The 27,204-nt window shown below is 41.7% G+C and overlaps 1 long non-coding RNA gene across 1 annotated transcript in view, besides 2 other annotated features; it reads left to right on the top strand.

The window, feature by feature from the left end:
• Positions 1–2,030: 2,030 nt before the first annotated feature.
• LOC100506274 (uncharacterized) overlaps positions 2,031–27,204 on the top strand; it is a 28,994-nt gene continuing 3,820 nt past the window's right edge. The window contains exons 1-5 of the long non-coding RNA NR_038432.1: positions 2,031–2,157; positions 7,621–7,789; positions 9,158–9,226; positions 10,950–11,063; positions 26,650–26,726. This is a non-coding gene — a long non-coding RNA (uncharacterized LOC100506274). The remainder of the gene's footprint in view (positions 2,158–7,620; positions 7,790–9,157; positions 9,227–10,949; positions 11,064–26,649; positions 26,727–27,204) is intronic.
• Positions 10,856–11,589: an enhancer, noted in NCBI's record as "H3K27ac-H3K4me1 hESC enhancer chr2:7570217-7570950 (GRCh37/hg19 assembly coordinates)". NCBI's record gives its function as "activates a minimal SCP1, AML or CMV promoter by ChIP-STARR-seq in naive and primed H9 embryonic stem cells {active_cell/tissue: H9 hESC(naive and primed)}" and the evidence as "EXISTENCE:reporter gene assay evidence [ECO:0000049][PMID:30033119]".
• Positions 11,590–12,323: an enhancer, noted in NCBI's record as "OCT4-NANOG-H3K27ac-H3K4me1 hESC enhancer chr2:7570951-7571684 (GRCh37/hg19 assembly coordinates)". NCBI's record gives its function as "activates a minimal SCP1, AML or CMV promoter by ChIP-STARR-seq in naive and primed H9 embryonic stem cells {active_cell/tissue: H9 hESC(naive and primed)}" and the evidence as "EXISTENCE:reporter gene assay evidence [ECO:0000049][PMID:30033119]".

A 27,204-nucleotide genomic window follows, 5' to 3' on the forward strand; every position in this document is an offset into this window, starting at 1 on the left:
ATAATCAATGTTGTCATTTCTCTTTTAATAATTTTATAATCATGATATTGCATAATTGCACTTGTAATTAAGACACTGGTCAACTCATTTAAAAATAATTAAATGTTACTTAAAAGTTACGACCTCTATCACCATTGCTTAACTTACCACATTACTTCCACTTCTGGTTTTGCTAGCTGCAGTTTTTAATCATGATATTTGAGACATTAAACAATATACTATCCATATCTCTTATAAAAGCCCATGAGGAAGATACTATTATAATTACAATTTTATGAATAAGGAAGATTAAGATCAAAAGATTGAAAAGATTTGTGCAGGTCACAGAGTTAGTGAGTGGCAAATTCAAGACTGGGATTTATTATTTTTCAGTCCTCCTGAGCAACAGACTTGCTGCTTTATGTTTTATGGGAACTTTCTGGATGGCCCTCTTTTGCCTTTATTCAACTTTCTTGTTTTCAATAAACAGATTTAGATTTAGATCTCTATATTTGTATTTCCAACTTTCTATAATCTGCACACAGTGATATTTTCCCTCTTCAATCTGTTACCTTTAGTCATTTTTAGTTTTGTTTTCTTATTTATCAAAATCTTCTGATAATTTTCTCTAGCATTTTTGTCTTCTTTTCCCTCTACTTTCCTATTCTTGTGTCTGATTAAAAAATGAATTATGTAAAGTCATTATAAAAAGTAGCTGCTTTTCCATTTACTCATTATTGAATTTGACCTCAATGTAGGAAAGTAAATAAGTGACACACTTAAACCATTTAATCACGTAACATAGATAAACTGTCCTGAAATACCATGTTGCAAAATACTATGCTACATAAAGTCATCTTAGGCTCATTTTGGTTTCTTGCACAATTTCAGTGTATTTGTCTCATGAGATGATAGTGCTCAGTGAGGTGTGAGGGTTCACCTTGACAAGAGAGTGAGGCTATATATAAACAGGTAACCTGCACCCCAGGGGCTGCAGGAGAGGCTTTTGCAACAACATAAAGGGGGAATTCAAAATGGCCACATCTAAAAGCATACAGGAGCTTTATTCCCCTTAGTAATTTGAACTTCCCTGCTATTCTGGGAGATCATGAGATATACTCTTGTTCTATTCCTGAGGTGTGCATAAAATGAGTTCTCTTATCAATTCTGCCTGCCCAGTACAGATAATTTAGTGACAGAACAGAGAGCTTCTTTGTGTGAATTCTACCCAGTTGCCTTTGCAAATGCGGCATGTGATTTCATGTACTTTTTACTTTTTTATTAGAAGTTACTGCATTTGAATTAGCTACAATCCCTCTTTTTAATAGATTGTATCAAAAATGTCTACGTTCCATAGCATTGGTGGAACCATGCATTATGTCTGAGGACAAGGACGGGAACCTTCCGTGGCGTGCTATCAGCAGCTTTAAATAGGCATTGAGTTTGAAGATAGAGCACATGATGAAGGAAAGTCAGACCCCAGTCGGCTATTTAGCTTTCAGTTCTGAGGAACCTGTCATTGCTTGCTTCTGTAAACCCAGCTAATGTGATTTATCTGATCCATTTCAATGCAAGAGAATGAAATGGCTCCGGTATAACAACCAATACAGAAACAGCAGTTACAAACTTACAGGGCTGCTGCTGCTTAAATATCTAGGCTAAGTACTTTTAAAATTAGCACTTTCATCTTGTTAGTGGTCTGTAAATGAGAACCCCTCTAAGCAATCAGATGTTCACAAATAGGGCCATTTCCCATGGACCAATAATATTCAAAAGACTAAAGCTGTCTTGCTAAGGAGGTTTGACTTTGTAGCAGGGTTTTAAAAGATATCCAAATACACCACAGAGAATCTTCTTCTGGGAGAACGGAGTGTGTGACTCTCCTCTGATAGTCTTGGAGGAACTGATGTCACTGCCCCCGCACCCCTCTTGTCCTATTCTAATGTCATGTCTTTCCCTATGTCTTTCCACCAGTGCCTGTGGGCTCCTGAAGGAAAGGAGAGATGAGATCATTATGGGCAGAACTTAGAACCTCTGGATGAATAGAGACGAGGTAAAATTCTGGCACCTATCCACAGCCTGAACCTTGGAGAACACCTCCCTTTCATATGACTTCTGCAAAGGGCGTGTTTCAGCTCACAGGGACAAAGAGTCACTGCACCAGAGAACCAGAAAGAGGTGAGGAGGAGCATGTGCTTTCAACCATTCCTGATGTCTCCCGTATGTCATCTAGCCACCTTGTTGCTGCCTTTCACTGAAATGTCTCTTATTATCATGTTTTTAATATTTTAATGTGTTTCTATTTAATCACGAGCCATGTTTACAAAATTTCTATTGGCATGCAGCGTGTGTATCCCCCCATACCCTGCCTTCTCTCCATTAATGTTTATGTCAGTCATTTACTTAAACCTAAGAATTGATAGGCAGTAGGCAGAGTGTGGTACACACTGATATGTCACCCTCATCCCCTTTCAGTGAAGAAATGTTTGTCCCCGGTGCTGAGAACACCATCAGATGATCTTTCTGCCCAGAGCCACTATCTGTCCCTAAATATCAGGTTTATCAATGCCTGGCCATCTCTTTTCAATTTGGGACAACTGCCAGCGACCACTAGCTAGCTCCAGAATTCCTCAGGTATGGAAGCTGTCCCTGGGTCTCCATCACATCTGACTTCTTCTTCTTTCTAATTATGCTTCTTCTCCCACCTCCACTTTCACAAGTGTGTTCCTCAAAGGAGCTCCTTTGTTAAATGGCCTGTACCTAAATGTCATCCCACAGTCTGCTTCTTGGGGTAATCCAAAATGCAACACACAACAAGCCCTGGTCCTTGCTCTTGAGAATTTATAAGTTAGGATGGTGAACTGGCCTCCACAAAACCAAGGACAGTGTGACAAACACATAAAAAGAAGCACAGGAAAGGGGCTGAGTGAGCCAATGGAGAGTGTGAGGGAGCAGGGTGGGAGGGCAGGAAGGCTTCATAAAGGCAGTGATTAAAATGTGTCTTGAAGAGTAAAGAAAAATACCTAACATTAGGTGCATAAAAGCAGAGAGGTGATAGATTGTTTCAGATCAAAATCACAGACAAAATTCAAGAGTGACTACATTTTAAGGGACATAGAAATGGTAGCAAAAGTAGTAAACGGCAGAGAGTAAACAATTAGATAGGAACCCATGTAGAATTTTGTGAGCCAAACTAAGGAAATTTGCCTTTTTTCTGCAGACCAGGTTTAAAAATAGAAGTTGATCCCTTTCAAAATAAAATCTGAGCCAGAATCCAAATGTATAAAACGGATACCAGCAGAGCTACCTGACTGATTATGGCAGGGTCTTAGAATTCAACCCAGTGCCTTCTCTCTTCTTCAGATGTTTCAGGAAACTGCCGCAACTTTGTAGAGCACAGTTTGAAAGCTACTGCTGAAGAAATATGTCACCTTGAAGGCTTTTTAAACACGGGATTTGCAAGATAGGGTTTGCATTTTAGAAACATTATTCTGCTTGCTACACTACTGAGTTTGGATGAGGGAGACTTGAAGGCAAGGGAGCTCTGTTATGAAATAACTACACTTTTCTTATAGAAGAAGACTATAATAGACTGTATCAAAAATGTCTACGTTCCATAGCATTGGTGGAACCATGCATTACGTCTGAGGACAAGGACGGGAACCTTCTGTGGCGTGCTGTCAACAGCTTTAAATAGGCATTGAGTTTGAAGATAGAGCACATGAAGGGCATGTTACAGCAGAGCTGAAGGGAGAACAGTTGATGGGGTTTGGTGATCAACTGATTTGGAGAGTAAAGCAATGAGAAGAATGACATTCATGATTTGGTATGAATTAAGGGTTTATTGGACAGAAGAAATGATGGGCAAGAGCGGGCATGGTGTAGGGGTGGAGTTGGAAACTTCCTTTCATATGGTCAACACCTCAGCAACCTCATTTAGACATAGGACCTGTGCATAGTAATCCCTTTTGTCTTGGAGGTGAGTTGTTGATTTTATTTTTATTTTTATTTTTTAGCTCCTTGGCACTTCTTTCTAAGGTTAGGGATCAGAAAGAAACATAATTGAGTTCCTGCCAAATTGAATATTCAGAAAGGGCACTGATAGGGGGATCAATTCCTTATTTCTACCATGAGACAGGCAAGATAAAGAAGAGTTGATAATTTCTGCACCCATCTTACTTCCTGCCCACCACAGAGCAGTTCACCCAGTGGCCTGGTTGGATGTTAGCCATTGGCAGGGCAAGAAATCCAACAATCGACTGTTGAAGAATTCCAGAGAATCAGTCTGGATCTCTTTCACACAGACAAAGTCTTGTTCCAGCTAATCTTAGGCTCCTATGCGAGAGGAAAGATGCTGGGAGGCCAGCACGGTGGCTCACACCCATAATCCCAGCACTTTGGGGGGCCAAGGTGGGCAGATCCCTCGAGCCCAGGAATTCAAAACCAGCCCGGGCAACATAGTAATAACCCCCATCTCTACAAAAAATTAAGAAAAATAATTAGCCAGATGTGTTGGTGCATGCCTTAGTCCTAACTACTCCGCAAGCTGAGCTGAGAGGATCACTTGAGCCCAGGAGGTCAAGGTTGCAAAGAGCCATGATCCTGTGCCTAGGCAACAGAACGAAAAAGATGTGAGAAATACTCAAAGTCTTGGTCTTTACCCAGAAGAATCAGAGCAAGGAAAAGAAAGATCTCTTTCCCCAGTTTGACATCCATCTTCCTAAATTTGGACAAAGGGATCCTAAACCACAGCGTCCTACAGTGAGTCAAAATGCCCATGCACTGATTCTCATCTCACTGGAGGTAAGCGCTGGGTCCGAAGTAACCTTCACTTTACCAGTTATGGTTACCCTTTATGTGAAGCTTGAATTGTTGCCTACTGTCCCGACTTTGTTTCGCTCCCTAGCCTGCTTTCATGGGACCCTACATCCTGCTCTTCTACCAGGCCATTTTGTTAGGGATCTGGGAATTGTTCTATGTATCTCCAGGTCATGGTTATTTCTCTTCCTTCAGATAGACCCCATAGGCCTCATAGGCCCCTTACGTCTTTTATAAAAAGCCAGTTTCTTTGAACTAGAACCTTCCTACACATCATGTAGTTCACAGCATCATTTGGTTCTTAAACTTGACTGCCCTTCAGTGTCACCTGGGAAACGTTCCAAAAATATTGATTCTGGGGTCTTATCTTAATTTAACTGAATTTGAATGGAAGATTGAACATGGGAATGTGTATTTTATTTTATTTTTTAGAAAAACTTTCCAAATCATTCTCACAGCTCTGAATGATTGGAGAACTAGTGACTGGGGTTAGTTTTCTTAAAATCTCCTTGTCCAAGTCTAGCTTTTGATACACACAACAGAGAAGGTAGTTGAAAGAAAGCTCTGGAAGAGCTCAGGGTTCTGATCTAGTATTGGAAGGAAGACCTACGCACGTTGTCTACTGGGCGAGCAGATGGCAAAGTTGGCATGCTGTCTGGAAGGTTTCAAATGCCGACTGCTTTTGTTTCTAGTCCAGATTTTGGGAGGGGTACACAACCTCCACCTTCACAAGCTGCCTCAGATCTGCTGAAGGACCTGGGAAAGTTGCTCAGTACAGACCCAGTATCCCACACCAGAGAGGGAAGATGACACTCATTTGTTTATATATCTGAAATAAGCAACTTCCAGATATATAGAGGAATAAATGTTTCCTTCCATCTCAATTCATCTCACTCTCCTAGGTTAACTAGTTAACTGACTAAAAGGTTGCTACCTTCGAGGCCAGGCATGGTGGCTCACGTCTGTAATCCCAGCACTTTGGGAGGCTGAGGCAGCAGGATCACCTGAGGTCAGGAGTTCAAGACCAGCCTGACCAACATGGAGAAACCCCATCTCTACTAAAAATACAAAAATTAGCTAGGCATGGTGGCACATGCCTGTAATCCTAGCTACTTGGGAGGCTGAGGCAGGAGAATTGCTTGAACCCGGGAGGCACAGATTATGGTGAGCCGAGATCATGCCATTGCACTTCAGCCTGGGCAACAAGAACAAAACTCCATTTCAAAAAAGAAAAGAAAAGAAAAAATGTTGCTACCTATGTAGACACCATTGCATACGCGAATGTGGAAGTAGAGACAGAGGTAGGAAGAGGGACAGGGAGAGGGACAAAGAGAGAGAGAGAGAAAGAGAGAGAGAGAGAGAGGTACATTTGGCAAGTTATTTAACATTTCCACGTCACAGTTTCCTTATCTAGAGGATTAATGATGGCTCCTTCTTCATAGTGCTATTATGATAATTAAATGAGTTAATATTTGTAAACTTCTATGACCAATGTCTGGAACATAATAACCACTCTGTAAATGTGGTTAACACACATGCACATATGCTTTCAATATATAGGTTTGCAACTTGCAGTTTTTCACTGAAGATTATGTCTTAGATCTCCTTATATGACGGTACACACAAATATAGCATAATTTTGTAACAGTTACATAGATTGCATGGTGTTATATGGATGGACTCTACATTATTTAATATTATTCTTTGGCTGGGCAATCGCATTGTCTTCAAAGTTAGTATTTTAAATACTGCAATAAATAATGCAGTGAATACAAGTATTTGTACTTGCATGAGTAGAAAAAAATTGTAGAATAAAAAGTCAGACTGTTGAGACAGGGGATGCAGATTTGCAGACACGAACAATAACATCAGATTTCTACTCTCAGGCTGCCCCATTTATACCCACACCAGCAGCACATGAGAAAACCCACTCCCTTCACAGTCACAAAAGTTGGGTAGTACAAACTCATAAAAACCTTTACTAACGTGAGGTCTTGAAGAATAACAGCTTGATTTTATTTTAATTCCAGACAGAATTCTATCACAGGAAAGTTAGAAAGCAGGTATTATCAGCCTTTTATCTGGACAGTAGTAAATATCAATATCTAAACTGTAAGGTTGCCATGAGCTGAAACATGAAATGGGGTATTTAAATAAAGTTCTTAAGATTAGCATTCCTTTGCGGAGACTGCCAAACCCAAATCATCTAATGTTGGCATCACTATTAATAACATATTTTTCCTTGAACCAATTGCTTCTTGGGGATAGGCAGATGATAGATAGATGGATAGATAAGCAGATAAACAGATCGATAGCTATATAATACAGATATAGCTTATAGACGAATAGATAGATGAATGTGGGCAGAGATAATACGTAGATAGGTAGATGCCTAGCTTGGTAAATGATAATCAATAGAAATAGAGGCAGATAGAGATACAGAAATAGACATAGATAGGGGTAGATCTATGAAATCCTCTTAACATTTGCTTCTGTGAAGAAACTTTCAGGCTCTACTGAATGATGCTTTACTGTACCTCGAATTTAAATGATGCGATGTATATGATATCTGCGATGCATACAAAGACAGGGTCCCCTTGGACACAGGTCACCCTGGCTCACCCCACCAGGTCTGCCACGGACAAGCTGACCGCCTGCATATTCACTTTCTCCTCTCTGAATTTAATTTCTTCATTTATAAAACAAGGAACATAACATGTATAGCAAAGTGAAGTAGTGAAGATTGACAAAATAAAATAAAGGAAGCATATCATCGAGTTTATGGTAAGCACATGAGAAAGATCACCCTGTTTTATTCCTAAGTTACAGACACGGCTCACAGGCTTAAGCGTCTTGCTGTAGGTCATACGGCAGGTTAATGACAACACTGGGGCAAGAACACAGGTTACGCTCGTCCTGGGGAAGGCTCCCACACCAAGCTACACACTTCTGCAATGCTGTTCCAGATGTGAAAATCCGCTAAGACAAATAGGTACGTTTCTTGCCTCTGCCCTTCTGAGTCTAGCAGTTGAGAATACAACTATCTGCAAACCAATCTTGCAATTTCAAGCCAACATAATATTTGGGGTAATTATATTTACATAAAATTTTAATGACTATAATTAAAATGGATAATCCAAATTCTAATAATTATATTATAATTAACTAAAAATCTTATTCAAAAGCAAATATGCCAGGAAGACTTTCATCAGATGAGGAAGGTGCATGGCTCTAGGTTAAAAGCACGACTTCCGAATCAAACTTGATGAACACATCTGCTTCTTTATGTCTAAACACATACAGAGCATTACCACTCACTAGAAGGAAGACTAGACAATGAGACTTTGCTTTTCATCTAAAACTTTTCCTTTAACACCCGGGTCAGGTTTTCAGTCCGAATGAGCTTCAATGCATCCCTGGGGAATTGTCTCTTGGTATTAGTCGGATTGAACACTAGATGGCACTGTGTTGCAACAAAATTTGGATTTTGAATGCATTTTTGTGTGGCTGTAATTAAGGTGTTGCTTGGGGTGGGGAGAGGTGAAATGTCTTTAGAAATAGTCTTCCTCAGTGGTCTCTTAAATATCCATTTGGACCAAATATTCTAAGGTTTATCTATCACCTATGCAGCTTTATTTCAAATGAGCATGCACATAAGAGATGTGTCTATTTTATGTATCAGTGGTTTCAAAAGTCATATTCGAATACCCATTTTTTCATGGCTTTGTGTCATGAGATGGAGAGCAAAGCAAACTGAAAGCGGTGAGGCAATGTGTCCAGCTCTCCTTTCAGCCTGGGCTCTCACCGGACTTCTGGACTTATCGCACTGATGCTGAATGTCTCCACCCACAGGCCCCACAGGCATCACAGACCCATCATCTGGGACATCTTATCACCAGCCTTCCAATCTCCCTAATATCTAGCCATTGGCAAGGCTATAAAGCCAATTTTGTGATATAAAATATTTTCGTGATTTATTTGACTTTTTTTGCCCCTCAATTATCACACCCAGTGAGTCATCAAGACTTGATTTTAGTTCATCATTACCTCCAAAACCCAAGCAAGCTGCTTGGTATATATGACCGAGTGCAGTGGAATCACTGTCATATTTCTTCTTTGCCTTTGACATCTTCTATTTTACAGCCCCAAGTCATTGTAAGTACTCCCATCCCTGCCTGGAAAGACAGGGACGGACGTAGCTCTTTCTCTAGCTCCCTGTAGCTCTTTCTCTAGCCAGCAAATTTTTTGTTTAAAACCTAACTCCAAAGTTCCTTCATCTGTGCATTCTTCCACATAGCTCCTCCCAACTTTGCGCATCCTGCATTCTAATGATTTCTTTGTATTTCTACTTTCCCTTTAGGTCACAAAAACACCATGGGAAACGATGATGTCTTTTCCTTTTTGTTATCTTGATAAAGCTTCATACATGGTAAGGAAGAGAAGGTATAAATGGCATTTTTGTAAGACATATAATATTTTCCTCTAATTTGGAATTTATTAATTAAAATTTAACAGAATGATAAAATGGAAATTTCAGTTGAGGAACTAATAAATCAACAGATGTCTTACTCCACAACGAGGTGCAAGATCTTGAGGCTGGATTTAGAAAGAGGAAGAGAAGACCAATTGCACAGCTCATCACCCCTCACCCATCTGATGATATGAAAGGTTTGAAGGAAGCCAGAGCTGGAGCAAGATTTTCCTCAGATGAGTTTTGATGAACTACAAAGAATGAAGATGCTCTCCCTTGTCATCCCCAGTCAAAGAAAAGGCACTTTAAAGAAATCACTCACGAGCCAGATATTGTGGTTGTATTTTGGTGGACACAGTGAAGTCACGTCTGGCTCGCTCCGCAAATACTGGGAGGGTGAGAAGTGGGAGGCAGCCGTGGGACCGCTGAGTGGAGGAGGCTGACCTTTGAGGAAGCACGTGGGATTTTTCCCCGCGGAACAGACGTGAGCCATGAACACGGGAGCAAAAGTGTGCTAGAGTAACTCCCGTCAAAGAGAGACCCTTACTAGGGCAAGAAGACCTTGATCAAAGCATACCCAGATGCCGAGGTTCTGAGGAAGGAAATAAGTGACCACCAGGCATGGTGCTCTGATTATTAAGCTAGTTTCTCAGCTCCAAACTCAACCTTCACTGCTTAGCCTTGTCACGGTGGGAAGGCTGGGAGAGGCCAAACCACCTTTCCCCTTTGCCAGGGCTCCCTGATCAGTTCTGCCTATGTGCTACTAAGGGAAACAGTAAGGCTGGAGGAGGGAAAGGGGACACCACCCTTCTCTTTGCGCACTGCTTATGCCAGCAGCATCCGAGCAATACCGCTTGCCCTGTAGTGCTTCTTGAGTCGGATTTCAGTTCAGTGTCTGGGTTTTTTAACATTTCTATAACCATTCTCCCTCCTCAATAGCACTCCCACATCAGAAGCTGAGTCCCAGCTCCCTGACTTCTCCAGATCCTAGAACTATCAGCACCAGCAGCAGCACACATTCCATTCCTGTGGGGCTTGGCTCTGTGAGGCTCCTCTCAGCTCCCAGATTCTCCCAACACAACTTCTTTCCTTTGTTCCCCCAGACTTCGAGCAGGTCATTTCTTGCTATGCCTGTCTAACCCCTTCCCTAAATTCAATTCTCTCTGTTAAGATAACCAGTATGTTTCTGCTTTCCAGTCTGGATTCTGATTGATACACAAAAGCTGCATTCCCACATCAAGGGAACTCCGAGTGTTCACCCTCCGTGGTAAGGGGAGACTGGGAGACCCCACAAAAGCATCCCAAGAGAGGAAGAGTCCCTTTACACACCTGCTGCCCCGTGTGTGGATGCCCACTGAGCACGGAAGTTGTCAAGTAAGAACTCTCAACTCCCTAGTGTTCCAAATCCCAGTTCTGGTGGAGTCAGGTATTACAGTCATAGCAGAGCAGAGGACCTTAGCAGCCCTAGGCAGAGAGGGGCTGAAGAAGCCAACCAAGGCTTCAGGTGTGGTTGGAGAAAGAAGTCTCAGCTTCAATCAAGTTTTCAAGTTGGATTAATACATGGGAATGAACTGTTACTTATCTGCTATATTGTTTTTGTGATATCAAGTAACCTGATTTTTTACATGTCCAAAAAAACAACAACAAAAAAGTATTGAAGCCTACCTTAAATTTCATCTAGGGACAAAAGGAGGAACTAGCCCACCAAGCAGGTTTAAAGGGAGTGTCGGACACAAAAATGACATGCCCCATATTGCAGTCTAGAAGGAACAACACGGTGAATTGTCTACTGCAGGTAAGCCAGGGGTGTTACAGGCGTCCTGAAAGGATACAGCGCAGGGTGCTGCAGCCAGGCAGTAAACAGTTGTATTTCTCTTTTCTCCACTGTCCTAAAGAGACTGCCCTGGGTGGCCCCTGCCTCGATTAGGTCACCAGATAGTTGCATTTGCCCTCCTCTGCCAACTCCCTAAGGTCAGGGTGGTGGCGTGCGGATTCCTAGCAGACTGCACAAGGTCTGAGGAAGGCTGGGTGGTGGACACACAGTTGATTAGTGATAGGAACCATGGTGGAGGCTTGTCAAAAGTCAACAGAAAGACAGACCAGCAGGGGTTGCCTGATTCTACGTGGAGCCCTGAGGCTGGGACTCAGCAAGAGCGGCAGGAGGGGACTGAGCGTGCTTTTAAGGACTGTTCAGAGAGCAAGGGGACCCAAAGGGAGAAGGAAGTGCACACCCTGACACAGAGAGTGAGGTGGAGACCCCAGCCGTGTCACAGAGCAGCGTGGGCTGGAGACTAAGCGCGGGGTGCAAGGGCTTCATGCGCCCTAGGGAGGAGGTCACTGTGGGCAAGAGGTGGAGTGGGGTGTATGGAACAGCCAGGCACTCGCAATGAGTCCATCTCTCAGTTCACCCCGGTCAGCCCTAGACTTCTGGGCTAGCCCAGCCGCTCCTTGCGTCCTGGGATGGGCTGCAGGCCTGCGAGTGGCAGGCGCAGCCCGGCTGCAGGAGCGCGGCTGGGGCTGGCCGCTCTCGCTGCCCTCTCTCCGGAACTGTTTTTTTCTGTCCTGGTCTCTGAAAGCCTTATTGATTGCTCAAAGTGAACTTCTCAGCCCACGGTTTCCTCACCCCCGGGGCAGCTTGCATTTCCTCTGCCGCGGCCTCTGTCGCCTCCCCTCCCGCGCGCCTCGGCCTTTTACATTTCAAATGCTCGACAGCTGGGCCAACTTCTGCTTCCGCCCAAAGAAGGGCTCTTTGCCGCTCACAATGGCCGGCCAGTGGCGCGGGGGCTCTTTTCTCTCCAGCTGTGAGAGAGGCTTTTTCAAAGGCCGGGGGGAAGCTGCCGTCCAGCTGCGCGCCTGGCCGCGGGGGCCCTGCATGCTAATCAGCGGCGCGCAGAGCCGGGCTCCGTGGGGCCGCGCAGATGCGCCCTCTCCGCCCGCAGAGCCTTCCGGGCAGGTGAGGCCAGGCCGGCCGGGCGTCACCGCAGGTGTGCACTCCGCGCGCGCACTCAGCTCGCTTTGGTGTTTCTCCAGGCCCTCAGGGCCCACCACTCCTAGTCCCAGCCCACAGGTCTGCCCGAGTCTCCGCCCAGGAATGTGGTCCTGACGCAGGGTGCTGGAACCAGGCTTCTGTATGCACTAGAGAAATGCCCTTGGCTCTATGACGGTGACCACAGAACCTGGACACACTGGGTGGGGGCGGGGGCCGGGGGTGGTGGTGGAGTCCTGATCCTGGCCACAGCCAGATGATTTTTGGAATAACCCGGCTTCAACTTGTTCATCACAGTTTATTCCCAGTTGAGTGCTTTTGTTCACCCTGGTCTTTATTTTGGGAGAATCTTCTGCTTTGTACCATGAGCGTCACTGCCTGTGGAAACCCTCTCCATCTGTGAAGTCCTCTTTCATATGGCCTGGCCGTCCATCCCCGCAGGCATTCCAAACGTCTTCTCTTTGGAGCACCGTGTTATTTCACCGTGGTATTTTGCTTGTCTTTAATAAGAATACCAAAGATACATAGTAATTGAGGCTTCACTAAGTTCCAGGTGCTAAAACCTGTCACATGCATTAATCTCATCGGGGTTGGTACAGTCCCTCAACACTGGAATTGTACAATCGTCATTTTATATGCTGGGGACCAGGGCACAGAGGCTGAGTGCTGGCAGGGCCATGGCTACCATGGCTAGATGCCCCGCAGCCCCCCGCCCCCACCCCCACACTGCCTTGTGTAGGTGTCCTCTCTATGTGTCTGATGGCTTTCCTGGGACTGGAATCTCCTTTAGGACTGGACTCTAGCATCTTTCCTCTTGGTGATCCGTAAAGGGCCCGCCTTGCAGACACAAGGGATAAAGGAGATGGAAAAGTGGCATCCGGAAATATCCTGAGCACCCACACTGCCACCTGCAGTAGGATCATCCCTGTCACACATGTGACTTCACCCACGCGGCCACCCACAAGGAGAGTTCTTAACTTCACCATTTTTTTAAATGATAAACATTAGATTTTGGGTGTACTGGACAGTAGAAAACAAAAATGTATATAACAGCTCCCGTTACTTATTATGGCTACTTGTATTGATGTGGCTCATGGGCTGCTCTCAGAGTGGATTTCTTCAAGGCGTGATGGACATGAGCTCCAGCTTCCCTCTCTCCTCTCTCCTCCAGTGTGATGCCTTCACCGGTTGGGAGTCATAGTGAACTTCCTTCTTTTCAACATTGCTTTAATGCTTATGATACTTATTTACAAACCACAACTCAGTGAGACAATTACTGTTAGCCATAATTCAGAAGTGAAGAAATCTAGATAAAAGAGTTAAAATGCCTGTTAAAATCAGAGAAGGACATAAACTCATTCTTGTACACTGGAAGTCTCAAACTCTTAATTCTTCCTTGGCCTAGAGATGAGTTTTTTTGGACCACATGATGTCTTCTTGTATAAATTTGAATTTATTAAAAGGTACTTAAAAAGTAGAATATTTTACGTTTTAAATATCCAGATTTCTAGTCTGTCTAGACAAATATCAGATGACCTGGCCACACTGGGCCTTCATTTTCACATGGCAACAGTCGGTACTGATTTTCCTCTGAGCACCATGTATGAAGGTGGCATCTCCCGTGTGCCCATCTCCACCCTCAGTCTGTTTCCCTGATTCACAGCATCTGTCTGGCTCCTGAAGGCATTGACTTTGCCTGGTTATGCTTCAAAAGCGCCACCTCTGTCCGTGGAATAGTCTCTCATAGAAAAACAGCTCTCTCTGTGATCAGAAGGTCTTATTGCCATCAGAATCTGTGGTCTATATCTCTTGAGCTCTGCATTTTGACATAGATTTCAAAGATTAGGAAGGTTATCACAGAGACCTAAGTATGGTTAGACATCAGAAACTCCATTAATTATTAGTTGCATCACCATTTCCATTCATGCAGAAAAATAACTTGATAAAATTTATCTCTTTTTTTGTGGTAAAAACAATCCTCAAGAATGGTCCTAGCCATTGCAATATGAAAAGAAAAAAAAAGAAAGAAATGAAAACTTTAAACATTTAAGTAATAGATAAAATTGCTATTATATGCAAATAACATATTTTAATAGAAAATTCAAAAGAATCCCCAAACCATTAACACTAATGCCTACTATATTCAATTCATTTATTCAACAAACATTTATTGAATGCAGTGGCTATTCCAGTTGCAGTAGGTGAGAAGTGCAGACAGTTATGCTTAGATGGGGCTAGTCTTTTATTTGTTTAAAAATAAATTTGTAATGTGTCTTATGATGACATGAATGCTCTGGAAAATAATTTAAAAAATAAATTTATTCACATATATTTTTTGAAATAGATGGTGATCAGAGAAGGGCTCATAACAATGAGATGACATCTGAGCAGTGCCTTGAAAGAAGTGAGGGAATTAGTGAATAGCTGAGTGGAGTGGGGGGTCATTCTATACTGGAGAACGATAAGTATGAATGGTTCAAGGTGAGGTTGGAGAAGTGATACAGGTTCAGATGACTTAAGCCCTTGTAGCTCCTTGAAGGATTTGAGATGGGGGCCATTCATGGTCTTCACACTCATTGCTGAATGAAGTACAAGATTGAAAACTGAGCAGGCTCTTTTTTACCACCTCAGCTTAGGAGTGTGCAGTGGATGTGGGGGTGTGTTGCTCATCACTCCCCCTGAGGTCTGAGGTATTTATTATCCCTGTTGTTGAAGTGTCGGGTGGCTCCCCGGGACATCCCTCCCCATAAATTTCTCAGATAAAGAAAGCCATCTAGCACAAGGAAATGTCCTCTCCCTAGAAGCTGCCCACTTCTAATGATGGCTGACATGGGAGGAAAAAGACACAGCTCATGCCTCCATCTGGAACAATTCTGAGATGCGATTTCACCTCCAGGGCCCTTGCGGGATCAGCTAAGGCTCTGCTGGAAATGAATCACAGTTCAGTTCAAGTCTTCCCTCTGCCCAGATCTCCACCTCTAACTCCCATACAGGTGAATTCCTGAAGGGCTGGCCCAATAACCTCCCATACCAAATCTGTGACTCGATTTCCCAGGGAACCAAAGACAAGTGGTACATTCTTATTTTTTTTCAACAAGAAGTAGTCACATTCTCCCATGTTGGTGAAAGTGCGATGAGAAATGCAGTCTGTGTGCCTGGAAGAGAAACCCCATTGGCGAGCATTTACAATGTCCGTCATATGTCCCTTTAGATATCTACAAAGATACTAAGTAAGCAAGTTGATGTATGAACCCAGACTTCAGGAAGTATGTCCAGACTGGAGATAGTAATCCTGGGTGGTATTTAAAGACATGGAACCAGGTGGTATTACCTAAATGCAGGTGGAGAAGAGAAGAGATGCAAGAACTGAGCTGTGGGGCACACCGATACTTACAAAATCCAGGAGATAACAATGAGCCCGGAAAGGAGACTGAGAATTTAAAGATGGGCGTATTCTGTGTGATAAAGCTCCTCAGTAAACGCACTAAGAGACTCCCACACTTGTACACAAGGAAACATGTAAAATGGACACTGCAACATTTCTTTTTTTGTAATACAGAATAATGGAAATGATTCAAATATTCAGCCACATAAGAAAGGATAAATAAATCATGGCAAAATCGTAAAGTGACATAGAATATAGCAGTTAGAACCTGTGGGCTTGCATGGCGTGTGTTGATATGGATAAATCTCAAAAACTTAATGTTGAGTGAAAATCCAGGTTTCACCAGTATCCATTTAATATGCTACTATTCATAGGAAGCTTTAAAAGCATTCAAAATACACCCTAGATTGCTTATGGACACACACTTGTGTAATAACCATCTGCACATGCGATGCTGTACATTCTGCAGTGGGGGAGGGAATGGGAGTTAGTGTGCATCCTGCCTGTCATACATGCTGCCCTTTGCTAGCCTTGTTGTTGCTGTTGTTGTTGTTTTGTTTTGTTTTGAGATGGAGTTTACTCCTTTACCCAGGCCAGAGTGCAGTGGCATGATGTCAGCTCACTGCAACCTCCGCCTCCTGGGTTCAAGTGATTCTTCTGCCTCAGCCTCCCCAGTAGCTTGGACTACAGGCACGCACCAGCACGCCTGGCTAATTTTTGTGTTTTTGGAGATGGGATTTCACCATGTTGGCCAGGCTGGTCTCAAGATCCTGACCACAAGTGATCCACCTGCCTTGGCCTCCCAAAGTGCTGGGATTACAGGCGGGAGCCACCATGCCTGGCTCCCTCGTAATGTCTGAGGTATTTTATACAGAAAGACACCTTCCCATCTTACTATTATAGAGCCCCTCAAATATTAACAAAGTCAGCCCTGTTAGGTGTCATTTGTAACCACAAATTGAAAATCACTGGTAGCCAGTACCTTTGATTCACTTGTGTGTTGCCAATACATCATGATGATTACAGTAATAATAATGAAAATGATTGTAATGATGATATACTCTTTGTTTAGCCTACATTGTGGTGGACACTTTGCCAAGCCTTCTGATGCATTATTTTATTTAATCCTCTGTAGGATACCAGAATAGAGAGATGATTATTACTCTTATTGTGCAGATGAGAAAACTGATGTCTAGAGAGAATGAATAAATCCCATCTTTCACAGCTGGTAAGCAGCAGAACCAGAATCTATCCCATCATTGTTTTCCTCTAGAGAAAATATTCACCCTTGAGAAGCTTCACCCTCTCTCTGCACAGTGTGAGCCTCAGACCATGTGTTCGGTTATTGTCTGTTAACTAAAAGTGAACCACCAGAACTGGAGGTGCCTGCAAAGGCCAGCAGGAGTAACAGCATGCGTCTGACACAGGTCCCAGAGAAGTTCTGGCTTCTCTTCTTTCTGAAGTACTGAACCACAGAGTAGTAGCAGAAATACCGTCAAGCCTTCTTTCCCATGTTCCCACGGCAGTGAACCCATTCGTGCTCTGAACACTTTCCATTCCACATATTTCTTCATAACAGAAGGTGTCAAAATGCTCCATGCTTCCTCTTTTGGGGAAATTAACTTAATTCAATTGAACTGCACTTATAATCACAGACGGGAATGACCTCAGAGAACTTCATTTCAACCCTCTCATTTTACAGTGGAAAGGAAAACCCCCAAATTTAAGTGACGTCCTTGTTCCATATAGCACCCTTCCTTACTGGAACCCAGCGACTCTCAGTTCTATTTGCAATGGAGAACCACCTGGGGAATTTGAAAACATTCTGCTGCCCTGGCCACATTTCCACATACTCTGATTTAATTGGCCTGGGGAGGGACTTGGCTTTCGAACTGTCTTCATCTCCCAGGTGCTTCCAATATGCAGCCATGGTGGAGAACCTCTGCTTTTTGTCTCCTTCCCTGGCACATTCACATAAACACATCTTTGATCTTGCTGGCCCAAAGAGTAATGACTGAAGCTGTGAGCTTATTTTACCAACAGAAATGGGACTGGTTGGGAACAAATTGGGCAATGTTTGCTCTTCTAAAAACCCTCTGAGGTTGTTCTTAGGAGACTTTTCCCCCTATTTTTCCATAGACAGGTCTTCTGATATGTTAGGTTTTCTTCAGTGCATTTTTTGAGAGGTAAAGAAAATAAAAAAACATTGTTTTTATCAGCCACAAATGGAATATATTTGGGAGTAATGGCAGCTCAGAAAGTTAAGGATTGGATTTAGTTATATTTTAATAATCTGTAAAAGCCTAGCTCCAGCTAATAGAATGCATATTTTATTTAAAGCAGGCATTGTCAAACTTCTTCTGTAAAGGGCCAGATAGTAAACATTTTCAGCTCCACAGGCCATATGGTCTCTGTTGCAACTACTCAACTCTGCCATTGAGGTGTGAAAAGCACCCACAGATAAGACATAAACAAATGGGTGTGGTTGTGCTCCAATAAAACTGTATTTAGAAAAACAGACAGTGGGCTGAATGTGGCTCATGGTCATTATTTGCCAACCTCTAAAATGTCAGATTAGAAAAAGTACTGTTTGATGATGCTCCAACTCTAACAAAGGCCAAAATAGAATTTAAATGTTTTGCTTAGATGGTGGGGGTTTCTGAACTTAAGAAAAAATCCCTAATGTTGTTTTAATATTTGACTCGGGTGTCCAAAAGCTTGCAAGACCCCAGTAGAAATTAAACAGAGTTTATTTCAGTGCCTTTTGAGCATCTCTGTATCTTTTTAATACATCCTACCTTTGGTGCTATTTACAAATGTTTCTTTTTTCATCTTAATAAAAATTTAGCAGAAAAATCTGCTAAACCCCAGAAGCGTCAGATAATTACTTGGAAAATGGAAAGGCAGTGAACACTAGTCATTTCATAATTTCAATTTTATGATTACTTTATTACAGAAAAACTTTCATAATAGTTGCATCATTTGAATCAGTTTTCGGTTTCAGCCCAAACCACGGGCACTTACGAAAACCTACCCTAACTTGATTTAGGTCTTCGAGCAAACCTAGAAAAATACTTACTAGAATGAAAAGAATCCTTAATGTGTTCTAATCATTGCTATGAGAGGTTGGAAGGCAGGCAAATGCTTTTCCTTTGCTGTTCTCTCAGCTTATAACATCCTGCCTAATTCTAATAGCATCTTTCAGGAATAGAGGAAGATGGCATTGAAAGTTAAGTGTGACTTTCCACTGCAACTCGGCAATGACCACTCACTTTTGCATTAATAATGAATGAGTATCTAAAGGTTAGTGAGCGAATGTAGCAGAACCAGCCAGAGGGAGTCATCAGGAGGCATCCCAGCTGAAATACACTGTGCAAGCCTGGGAGGAAAGAGGTTCCCCTGAAAGGCACTATCTGGACTGATGGGTTTTCAGGGAGCCAGTCATTCACTAAACCCACATAGGCTGGGAAGCAGATAAAGAACTGAGGCTGCAACGTAATCAGATGGGATTTGGGAACAGAAAGTCAGATAATACCATGTCTGTCTGGACCTTAGACCAGGGCTCTAGAGAGTTCTCTGAGTAAAACGGCAAAGTTTGAGACTTTTGCAGGACACTTTCAACTCTCAGCTGCCTTCAACTCCTTATTGTCACTTTTGCTTTGTTTACTTTACTGCAGTTTTCATTTATGTTTTCTCACACCTGTAATTCCAGCACTTTGGGAGGGTGAGGTGTGTGGATCACCTGAAGTCAGGAGTTCAATACCAGCCTGGCCAACATGGTGAAACCCCGTGTCTGCTAAAAATACAAAAATTAGCCAGGCGTGGTGGCAGCCGCCTTTAATCCCAGCTACTCAGGAGGCTAAAACAGGAGACTTGTTTGAACCCAGGAGGCAGAGGTTGCAGTGAGCCGAGATCACACCATTGCACTCCAGCCTGGGTGACAGAGCAAGACCCTGTTTCAAAAAATAATAAATAAATAAATAAATAAATAAATAAAAATAATAAATAAAATTTAGGCAGCAAGAGTAGGAGGTTTGATTGTGTGTCTGTTGCTTTAGTCTCAGGAGCCTAATCAGCCAGCCATGAACTCATGGTTATAGGGCTACAGCATTCCTATGACTTTTAAAGTCCTAAGATTGGTTCAGTCAACAACCCAAAAAGACTAATCATAGTGTGAAATATCTACTTCCTGTGAACTGTACATTGTCATATTTCCACTTTAGTGCTGGGGAGCGCTAAAAAAAACCATGTTGGTGCTAAAGAAAATACCTTCTTCTTCATGTCAGCAGGGAAAGTTTGAAAATTAGCCTTGTTTTCTACCAGCAAACTCTATTCATTTGTTCTTTCATTAAATCCTATTACTGAAATTCTGCTGGGTGCCATCACTGTACTAGGCATGAGGAATACAGTGGTTAGGAAGATCCTGTCCCTCTCCCAAGGAGTTCCTAGATAGGTATGGAAGGATGACAAGAAATAAATAGCTACCGCTATTATGAGTCGCATGGTAAGAACAGGGTGCTGGGACAATTCATAGCAGTGAGTTTCTCCCAAATCTAGGAGTCAGAGAAAATTTTCCAGGCGAGTGATATCTATCTGGAGACTAAGAGGATGAAGATGTCTTTGTTTTACATCTGAAAATTTATGTCAATTTTATCAGCTGATTTGAATTTTTGAATGAGGATTGCAACTAGAATAGATTGTTGGTTTTTACATTAACTCTTCCTCTAATAAAGTTGCCATTTTTGTCCCATCACAAAGAATGTATATTAAGTAACATTATATGATTTTTAAGAAAATCATGTATGATTAAGTAATATTATACAATTTTTTAAAAAATCATATATGATTAAGTAACATTATACAACTTTTTGTTCAAGAAAGGACAAAAACATTACTGGAGAAACTAAGCATCTGGTTCATCCGATGTCATTAGACACTAGGGCCTACAGATAAGAAAATGATGATGAAGAAATGGCAGAATTTCCCCTTGATGATGGGAGGCTTGGTCAAGGCCAGGAAGACCACTATGTAGGGACCGTGTGGAAGAGACCTTCAATACTCTGACTCACTCCCCAACTAACATAACTGCTACTGACTGCTGGCACCATATTTTAATCAAACTTTTTCAAGATTCATCCATCCATTCATTCAAAAATATTTTTAATGAAATATTTCAATAACAACTGAAAGTGAAATGGCCCTTTAAATGGAAGAGCTCATTTTTTGTGAGTGAAGCAAACAGGAGAGTCATTCCCATCAGGGTGTCAGGACCATTCGTGGTTGGCATATGTCAAGTGTTGATACTCAAAGGTGGGCAGAACTAACTCAACCTGAGAAAACAGAAAAAAGTTCCAGATTCAGGCAGGTGGGGAAGAGAAAGAAGAGCATTCTGTTTGGTCCGTTCAGGATAAGCCCAGTGAAAGGACAGGATGTGCTTTAGAAAGAGCGAGCAGCTTGGTTTCTTTAAAACATTAACGTTCTGGGAATAAGGATGGAAGGACAATTTGAACAGAATGTGGGGACATTTTTTCACTTTTGGGGATTTTATGCTTTGATCAATTTGGAATTACTAAAGGACTTTGACCAAGGCAGTGATTCAATTAGTTTGTCACGTAGAAGATTCTTCTGCCAATACAACGGTGAAGGGCTGACCACAAAGACAATAGAGACAAATGTGTGTGCATATGTTGGGGTAGGTGGAGAATAAAATTCAATTGCTCTGTTGAGAGATAGTGCATTGAAAGGATGTATTGAAGGCAATTTTGGGAATTAAAATGTTCAACATTACTTGACCTGTGAAATGTGGAGGTCAGCATGAGGAATCAAGAATTATTATCATTTTCTCATAGAATACATGTTATGGCACAGGGGAAGCCAAGAGAAGCATGTTTAGGGGAATATGTCATGAGATACAATAATCTTAGGTGATGGGCTTCTTGATGTGCCTCAGCTTTCATCATGTATTTCTTCTTATTTCCTTCACTCAGAAGCTGTAATTTATGCAAGCTTCGACTGACTGTAATTCACTTACTGCTCAATGAATATTCCTCTGAATGATCTGTAAAGGCTATTTTGTCCAAAAGCTGTGTCTGGGACAAATGTGATAGTGTCAAGGGATTTCATTCTGGACAAATGCATAAGAAAAAAATTTTAAAAGCTGAACACGCCAAATTTCTTATGATAAAACATTTCTTTAAAAAATAGGAGAAAAAAGTACAACGGCTTTAGAAATACCAGGTGAGGGATGTGTGAACTGATGAGTCTGTGGCTGTCACTTGCCCGTTATCACACGGTAAAGTGTCAGCAATGCCTCCACACCAAGTTAGACAAAGAGAGCCTTTAGAACCTATTCTAATTACTCTAGAGATGCCCACAGAAGGCTGACTCTGCACTCTGTTGATTTATTTGAGTAAAAAAATTAAGTGGTTCAGACATAGGATGGATATATAAGATCAGTCTGGGATTAGCTCACTGCACTGTATTCCTTTTCCTGTGTTCATGGGTCACTTGAGCCAGTGGAGCTCTGTCTATAAGAAGACCTTTGTGCCTAGGGCTGAAGCATGGGGAAATATAGCATGTTCTCCTGTTTTCGATCATTGTGTCCCATCTTAACTGCAGAATGAGTGTTGGAAAGAAATTCTGACTTTGAATTTATCACAAAACACCCTTCAGTGTAGGATCCCAAATACTCTCTGAATGATTAAATAAATAAGTGAATGGATATCTTTCCTCCTGGAATGAAAATGGTATTTAAAGTAGACCTGGGTTTACCTCCCAGCTCTGATCTTGATTAGGTGTAAAACCAGGTGCAACCTATTTGACCCATCTTAGCCCCAACTTCCTCCCTTACCTGAGAAACAGGTAGAGATACCCATTTCATACACTAGTACATAAGGAGCAGAGGTAATATAAGCAATGGACTTTACTCATTGTTTCAACAGTTGGCTTTCAATGCATGGTAGGTCTTACTAGGGTTATAAAGATTCTTTGCCAAGTGTCTGATTCTCTAAGCTTGATATGGTTTGGCTGTGTCCCCACCCAAATCTCACCTTGAATTGTAATAATCCTCATGTAGGAAGGGTGGTGCTAGGTGGAGATAATTGAATCATGGGGGCAATTTCCCCCATACTGTTCTCATGGTAGTGATTAAGTGTCACAAGATCTGATGGTTTTATAAATGGGAATTCCCCTACCCAAGCTTCTTGCCTACCACCATGTAGGACGTACCTTGCTCTTCTGCCATGATTTTGAGGCCTCCCCAGCCATGTGGAACTGTGAGTCAATTAAAACTCTTTCCTTTACACGGAGCTTGCAGTGAGCTGAGATTGTGCCACTGTACTCCAGCCTGGGCGACAGAGCAAGACTCTGTCTCAAACAAAACAAAACAACCAAACAAAAAACCAAAAACTCTTTCCTTTATAAATTACCTAGTCTAGGGTATGTCTTTATTAGCAGCATGAAAACAGACTAATACAAAGCTCTATCATATACCCACCTTGTCAAAAAACAGGAGGAGATGGGAAGAGGGTGAAAATTTTTAAAGGTAAGAATATTGAAGGAGAACCATGGTTGAGAATACATGCTGAGGGAATCTAGAATATTCAAAAGAGAATTGGCACTAGGGATACATGTATCATAGCACCCCTTTCATGGTTTATCCCAGAAATAAAAGCTTTTTTTGGATAAAGGATTATTTGTACAACCATTGATGAGGAGAGGAGCTGACAACAGACTGGAGCGTAGGTAATGTGACACTTCCTCGTGCCAAACTTTCAATACAGCTTGTTGTGGTTCAGCAGCATCAGTGGGATTTATTGGTTTGTTGAAAGTGACAAAAGTTTTCTCAATAGGCAATGATAAACAAAGGAGATTGTTACAATAAGAATAATTTTGGAGTTCTAAATCAGATATAATTCACCAGAGAGAATGAAAGTATGGAATTTTACAAGTTGTGTGTGTGTGTGTGTGTTTACACCATTATGCTGTGGTCAGGCAGCTGCTTTTCCTTCTTTTTAATTAGCATTTTAAGAAACATTTCACATTCATTGTTTGTTTTTATATACTCTAGTTTTCTTTTTTTTTGTAATCATTAGAGTCTCTGTTTTATGTGTATTTCACACACACACAAAAACACACACACAAACACACTCTTTCAAAACCCCAAAATGGTATTTTTTTATTGCCCTATGTCTCTAAGTTAAAGGAAGCTAACATTTTCACCTCTCCTTGTTTCAAGTAATATTGTTTATCAGCACTGAACTTTTCCTTTCTCAAGATGCCTGTGTTTGACTGTGAGTTTGATGATCATTCACCCACATGCCTATGCGAAACCTGTAATTAAAGACATTTTATGAAAGATACTGTAGTTGTCACTAAGCTAAAAGACCTTGCTTTCAAGTGGTGAAGCTGAGGCTCCAAGTGCTTAAGTTAAAATATTGGTTATATAATTGACACACGTGCTTGTCAACTAAATGATTTCTTTTGTTTTCTCTTCAATATTAAATATTTAGCAGAAAGAGATAAGTGCAAATAAGCAAGTGTATAACACGATCAGTGTTTTGTTTTATTTCCTTTTTAATCTTTGATTTTTGAAGATCTTAATTCAACAATTTAAGGGCACTTAGTGCCACCACTATCCTCCATCTCACTCCCTCATGGAGCAACTACAGACTTTAATTTCTTTTAGTCCAAGTAAGATAGCTGTAGAACAGGGAAACTTTAATATGCATAAAGGCTGAAGGGTACTAGAGCTTAATTTCTTACTCACATAAAGTATAAAAGAGGTGTTCCTGTTGGTGGGCATCCCTCTTCCAAGCAGGGATGCAAGGTTCAGTTTTTTTCTTTTCTTTTCTTTTCTTTTCTTTTCTTTTCTTTTCTTTTCTTCCTATTTTTTTTTCTTGAGACAGAGTCTCACTCTGTTGCCCAGGCTGGAGTGCAGTGGTGCGATCTCTGCTCACTGCAACCTTCGCCTCGCGGGTTCATGCGATTCTTCTGCCTCAGCCTCTGGGACCACAGGCACATACCACCATGTCCAGCTAATTTTTGTATTTTTAGTAGAGATGGGGTTTCACCATGTTAGCCAGGATGGTCTCGATCTCCTGAACTTGTGATCCTCCTTGGCCTCCCAAAGTGCTGGGATTCCAGGCATGAGCCACTGTGCCTGGCCCAGCTTTTTTCATATTGAGTAGAAGCCCAGGTAGAAGAGAAACTCGTGGAAGATGGCTAGAGCAGAGCTTACGGGCCAAGCTGGAATCTGTAAAACAGTATACAGCTATTTTGCTCATAGTTTATGGGCTAGAACTCTGTTACATGGACACACCTGGCTGCAAGAGATCCTGGAAAATGAAGACCAACCATGCATGTGTGTACACAGGAATGCATGCACAGAAATGGAATCACACTCTTCCCACATTTTGCTGTGCATTGCTTTTACCATATCAGCCCATACAGCTCTATTGCATTATTCTTAGGGTTTGTATAGCGTTTTGATAGAAGAATGTTTTATTTAACCAGTTTATAAGCCCTCACTTTTAAAACCACACTAACTTTCACAACAGAGTAAAAACCTTGCTTATTAATTCTATGAAATGACGTGTTTTGGAGATTTGAATTTTGTTGGTAATTAAGCCTTTATCACACCAAGCACCACTTTTCATCTGAATTTTAAGGAATGTTTGCACGAATCTCTTTCCAAATTCATTGCGCAGTTAGGTGCTTTCTTAGAAAAAAAATCATCCACAGACAATAATTTAACAATTTTATTCATGAGAATGGGGATCCCCCAAGCACTCAGTTTGTCTGTCCTATTTCCCACTCTTCTTGACTAGTTAGCTGTGGCCCTAGGCTGTGGATGTAAGCAAAGTATGCTTATTTGGGGCCAACATATGCAAGATCGGCTGCAAACTTCAAGCTGTCTTCCCCTGTCATGGTGATCAAGGATGTCTCACATTGAAGTGGTAGATGCACTAGATCAGAGCGATAAGAATCATTGAATTACTACGTGGAGGGCTACCCTGAAAAATTGCCAAGAACTGCAGTGGAATTTTCATGACTAAGAAATGCAAACCATTATTGCATCAACCTTCTAAGACATAGGTGTTATTACCAGAGCATATTCTAGCCTAAGAAAATGCTTACGCAGTATTATTTATAATATTAATCATATTACTTTACATTATTAATTATATTAATTTACATGTTTTGATGGATTTATAGCTTGCATAAGGCTTTCCTAATCATTAGCTTAGGAAATATTCTATGACTTGTACAACAATGCAACTGTGGGTACAGACAGTTTTGAGATGTGTTCTACTCAACATTTATGAATTTATGCTATTTTACTTTTGAGTTTGCATATCTTCTTTTAATAACATGTTTCTGCTTTTGTGTATGTCTTCTATCCTATTGCAACTTTTCATGTTATGTGATTTTAGTAGGCAACATTCAAATTTAGTTTTACTTGTAATAGCAAAAGTGAATTGTCTCAGAATGAGAACCTGAGAACCACCTTTCTAAATAAGCTATTTTACTCTTAGTCCATAGAATTTGAAGCCTTTGTTTTCTATCAGAAATATTATCTCAATAATACTTCAAATTGCTTCCTGTCTATTTTTATTTTTTTTAAGACAGAGTCTCCGTCTGTCTGTCACCCAGGCTGGAGTGCAGTGGCTCGATCTCAGCTCACTGCAACCTCTGCCCCCTAGGTTCAAGTGATTCTCCTTCCTCAGCCTCCCAAGTAGTGGGGACTACAGGTGCATGCCACCACACCTGGCTATTTTTTGTATTTTTAGTAGAGAAGGGGCTTCTCCATGTCGGCAAGGCTGGTCTCGAGCCCCTGACCTCAAGTGATCTGCCCGCCTTTGCTTCCCAAAGTGCTAGGATTACAGGTGTGAGCCACCGCACCCAGCCTCTGTCTGTCTAGTTTTAAGAGTGGTCCTGTGGCAATCCCTAGCTTCTCTATGTGTTTTTAAACTTAATTCCATCTTGTCTCTCTTTACTTCCTATCTACAGAACACTTCACTCTGTCTCGATTACTACATGGTGAATTGAAGTTCCAGTAGAGAGGGAGTTGAGCTGATACTGAGGAGGTATGTATGCTAATACTGCCCAGTACTAACTTGGTGTCCATTTTAGCAGAAGGCAAGTCACTGCGTTCCTTTTTTCAATCAGTAAAACTATAAGGCTGGGTTTGATTACCAATTAAGATTTTTCTGTATACCAAATTATCTGGTCTTTGGAGAATGAAAAGCTGTTCAAATCTTATAATCAAGCAGCAAAGAAGTACTAGGTAACATATTTTCAGTATATGCTATGAGCCAGTTCACAATGCCATGCACTTCACTATATCATCTCATTAAACAAATTTGTGAGATTCTCTTACAATTTCTGTTTCATACATGGGAACTGAGGCATAGAGAGTACCATGCTCAGGGTCATGGAAGGAGTAAGCACTGAAACCGGCAGTTGCATCTGAGTGTATCTGACTCCTGGATCTCAGGTCTTCTACAAGCAAACAGGAGTAGTTGCTACATAGGCCCTCAGAAAATTAACACAATAAATAATAGG

Source organism: Homo sapiens, chromosome 2 (assembly GCF_000001405.40).
Source record: "Homo sapiens chromosome 2, GRCh38.p14 Primary Assembly".
In the NCBI taxonomy this organism is placed as follows: Eukaryota; Metazoa; Chordata; class Mammalia; order Primates; family Hominidae; genus Homo; species Homo sapiens.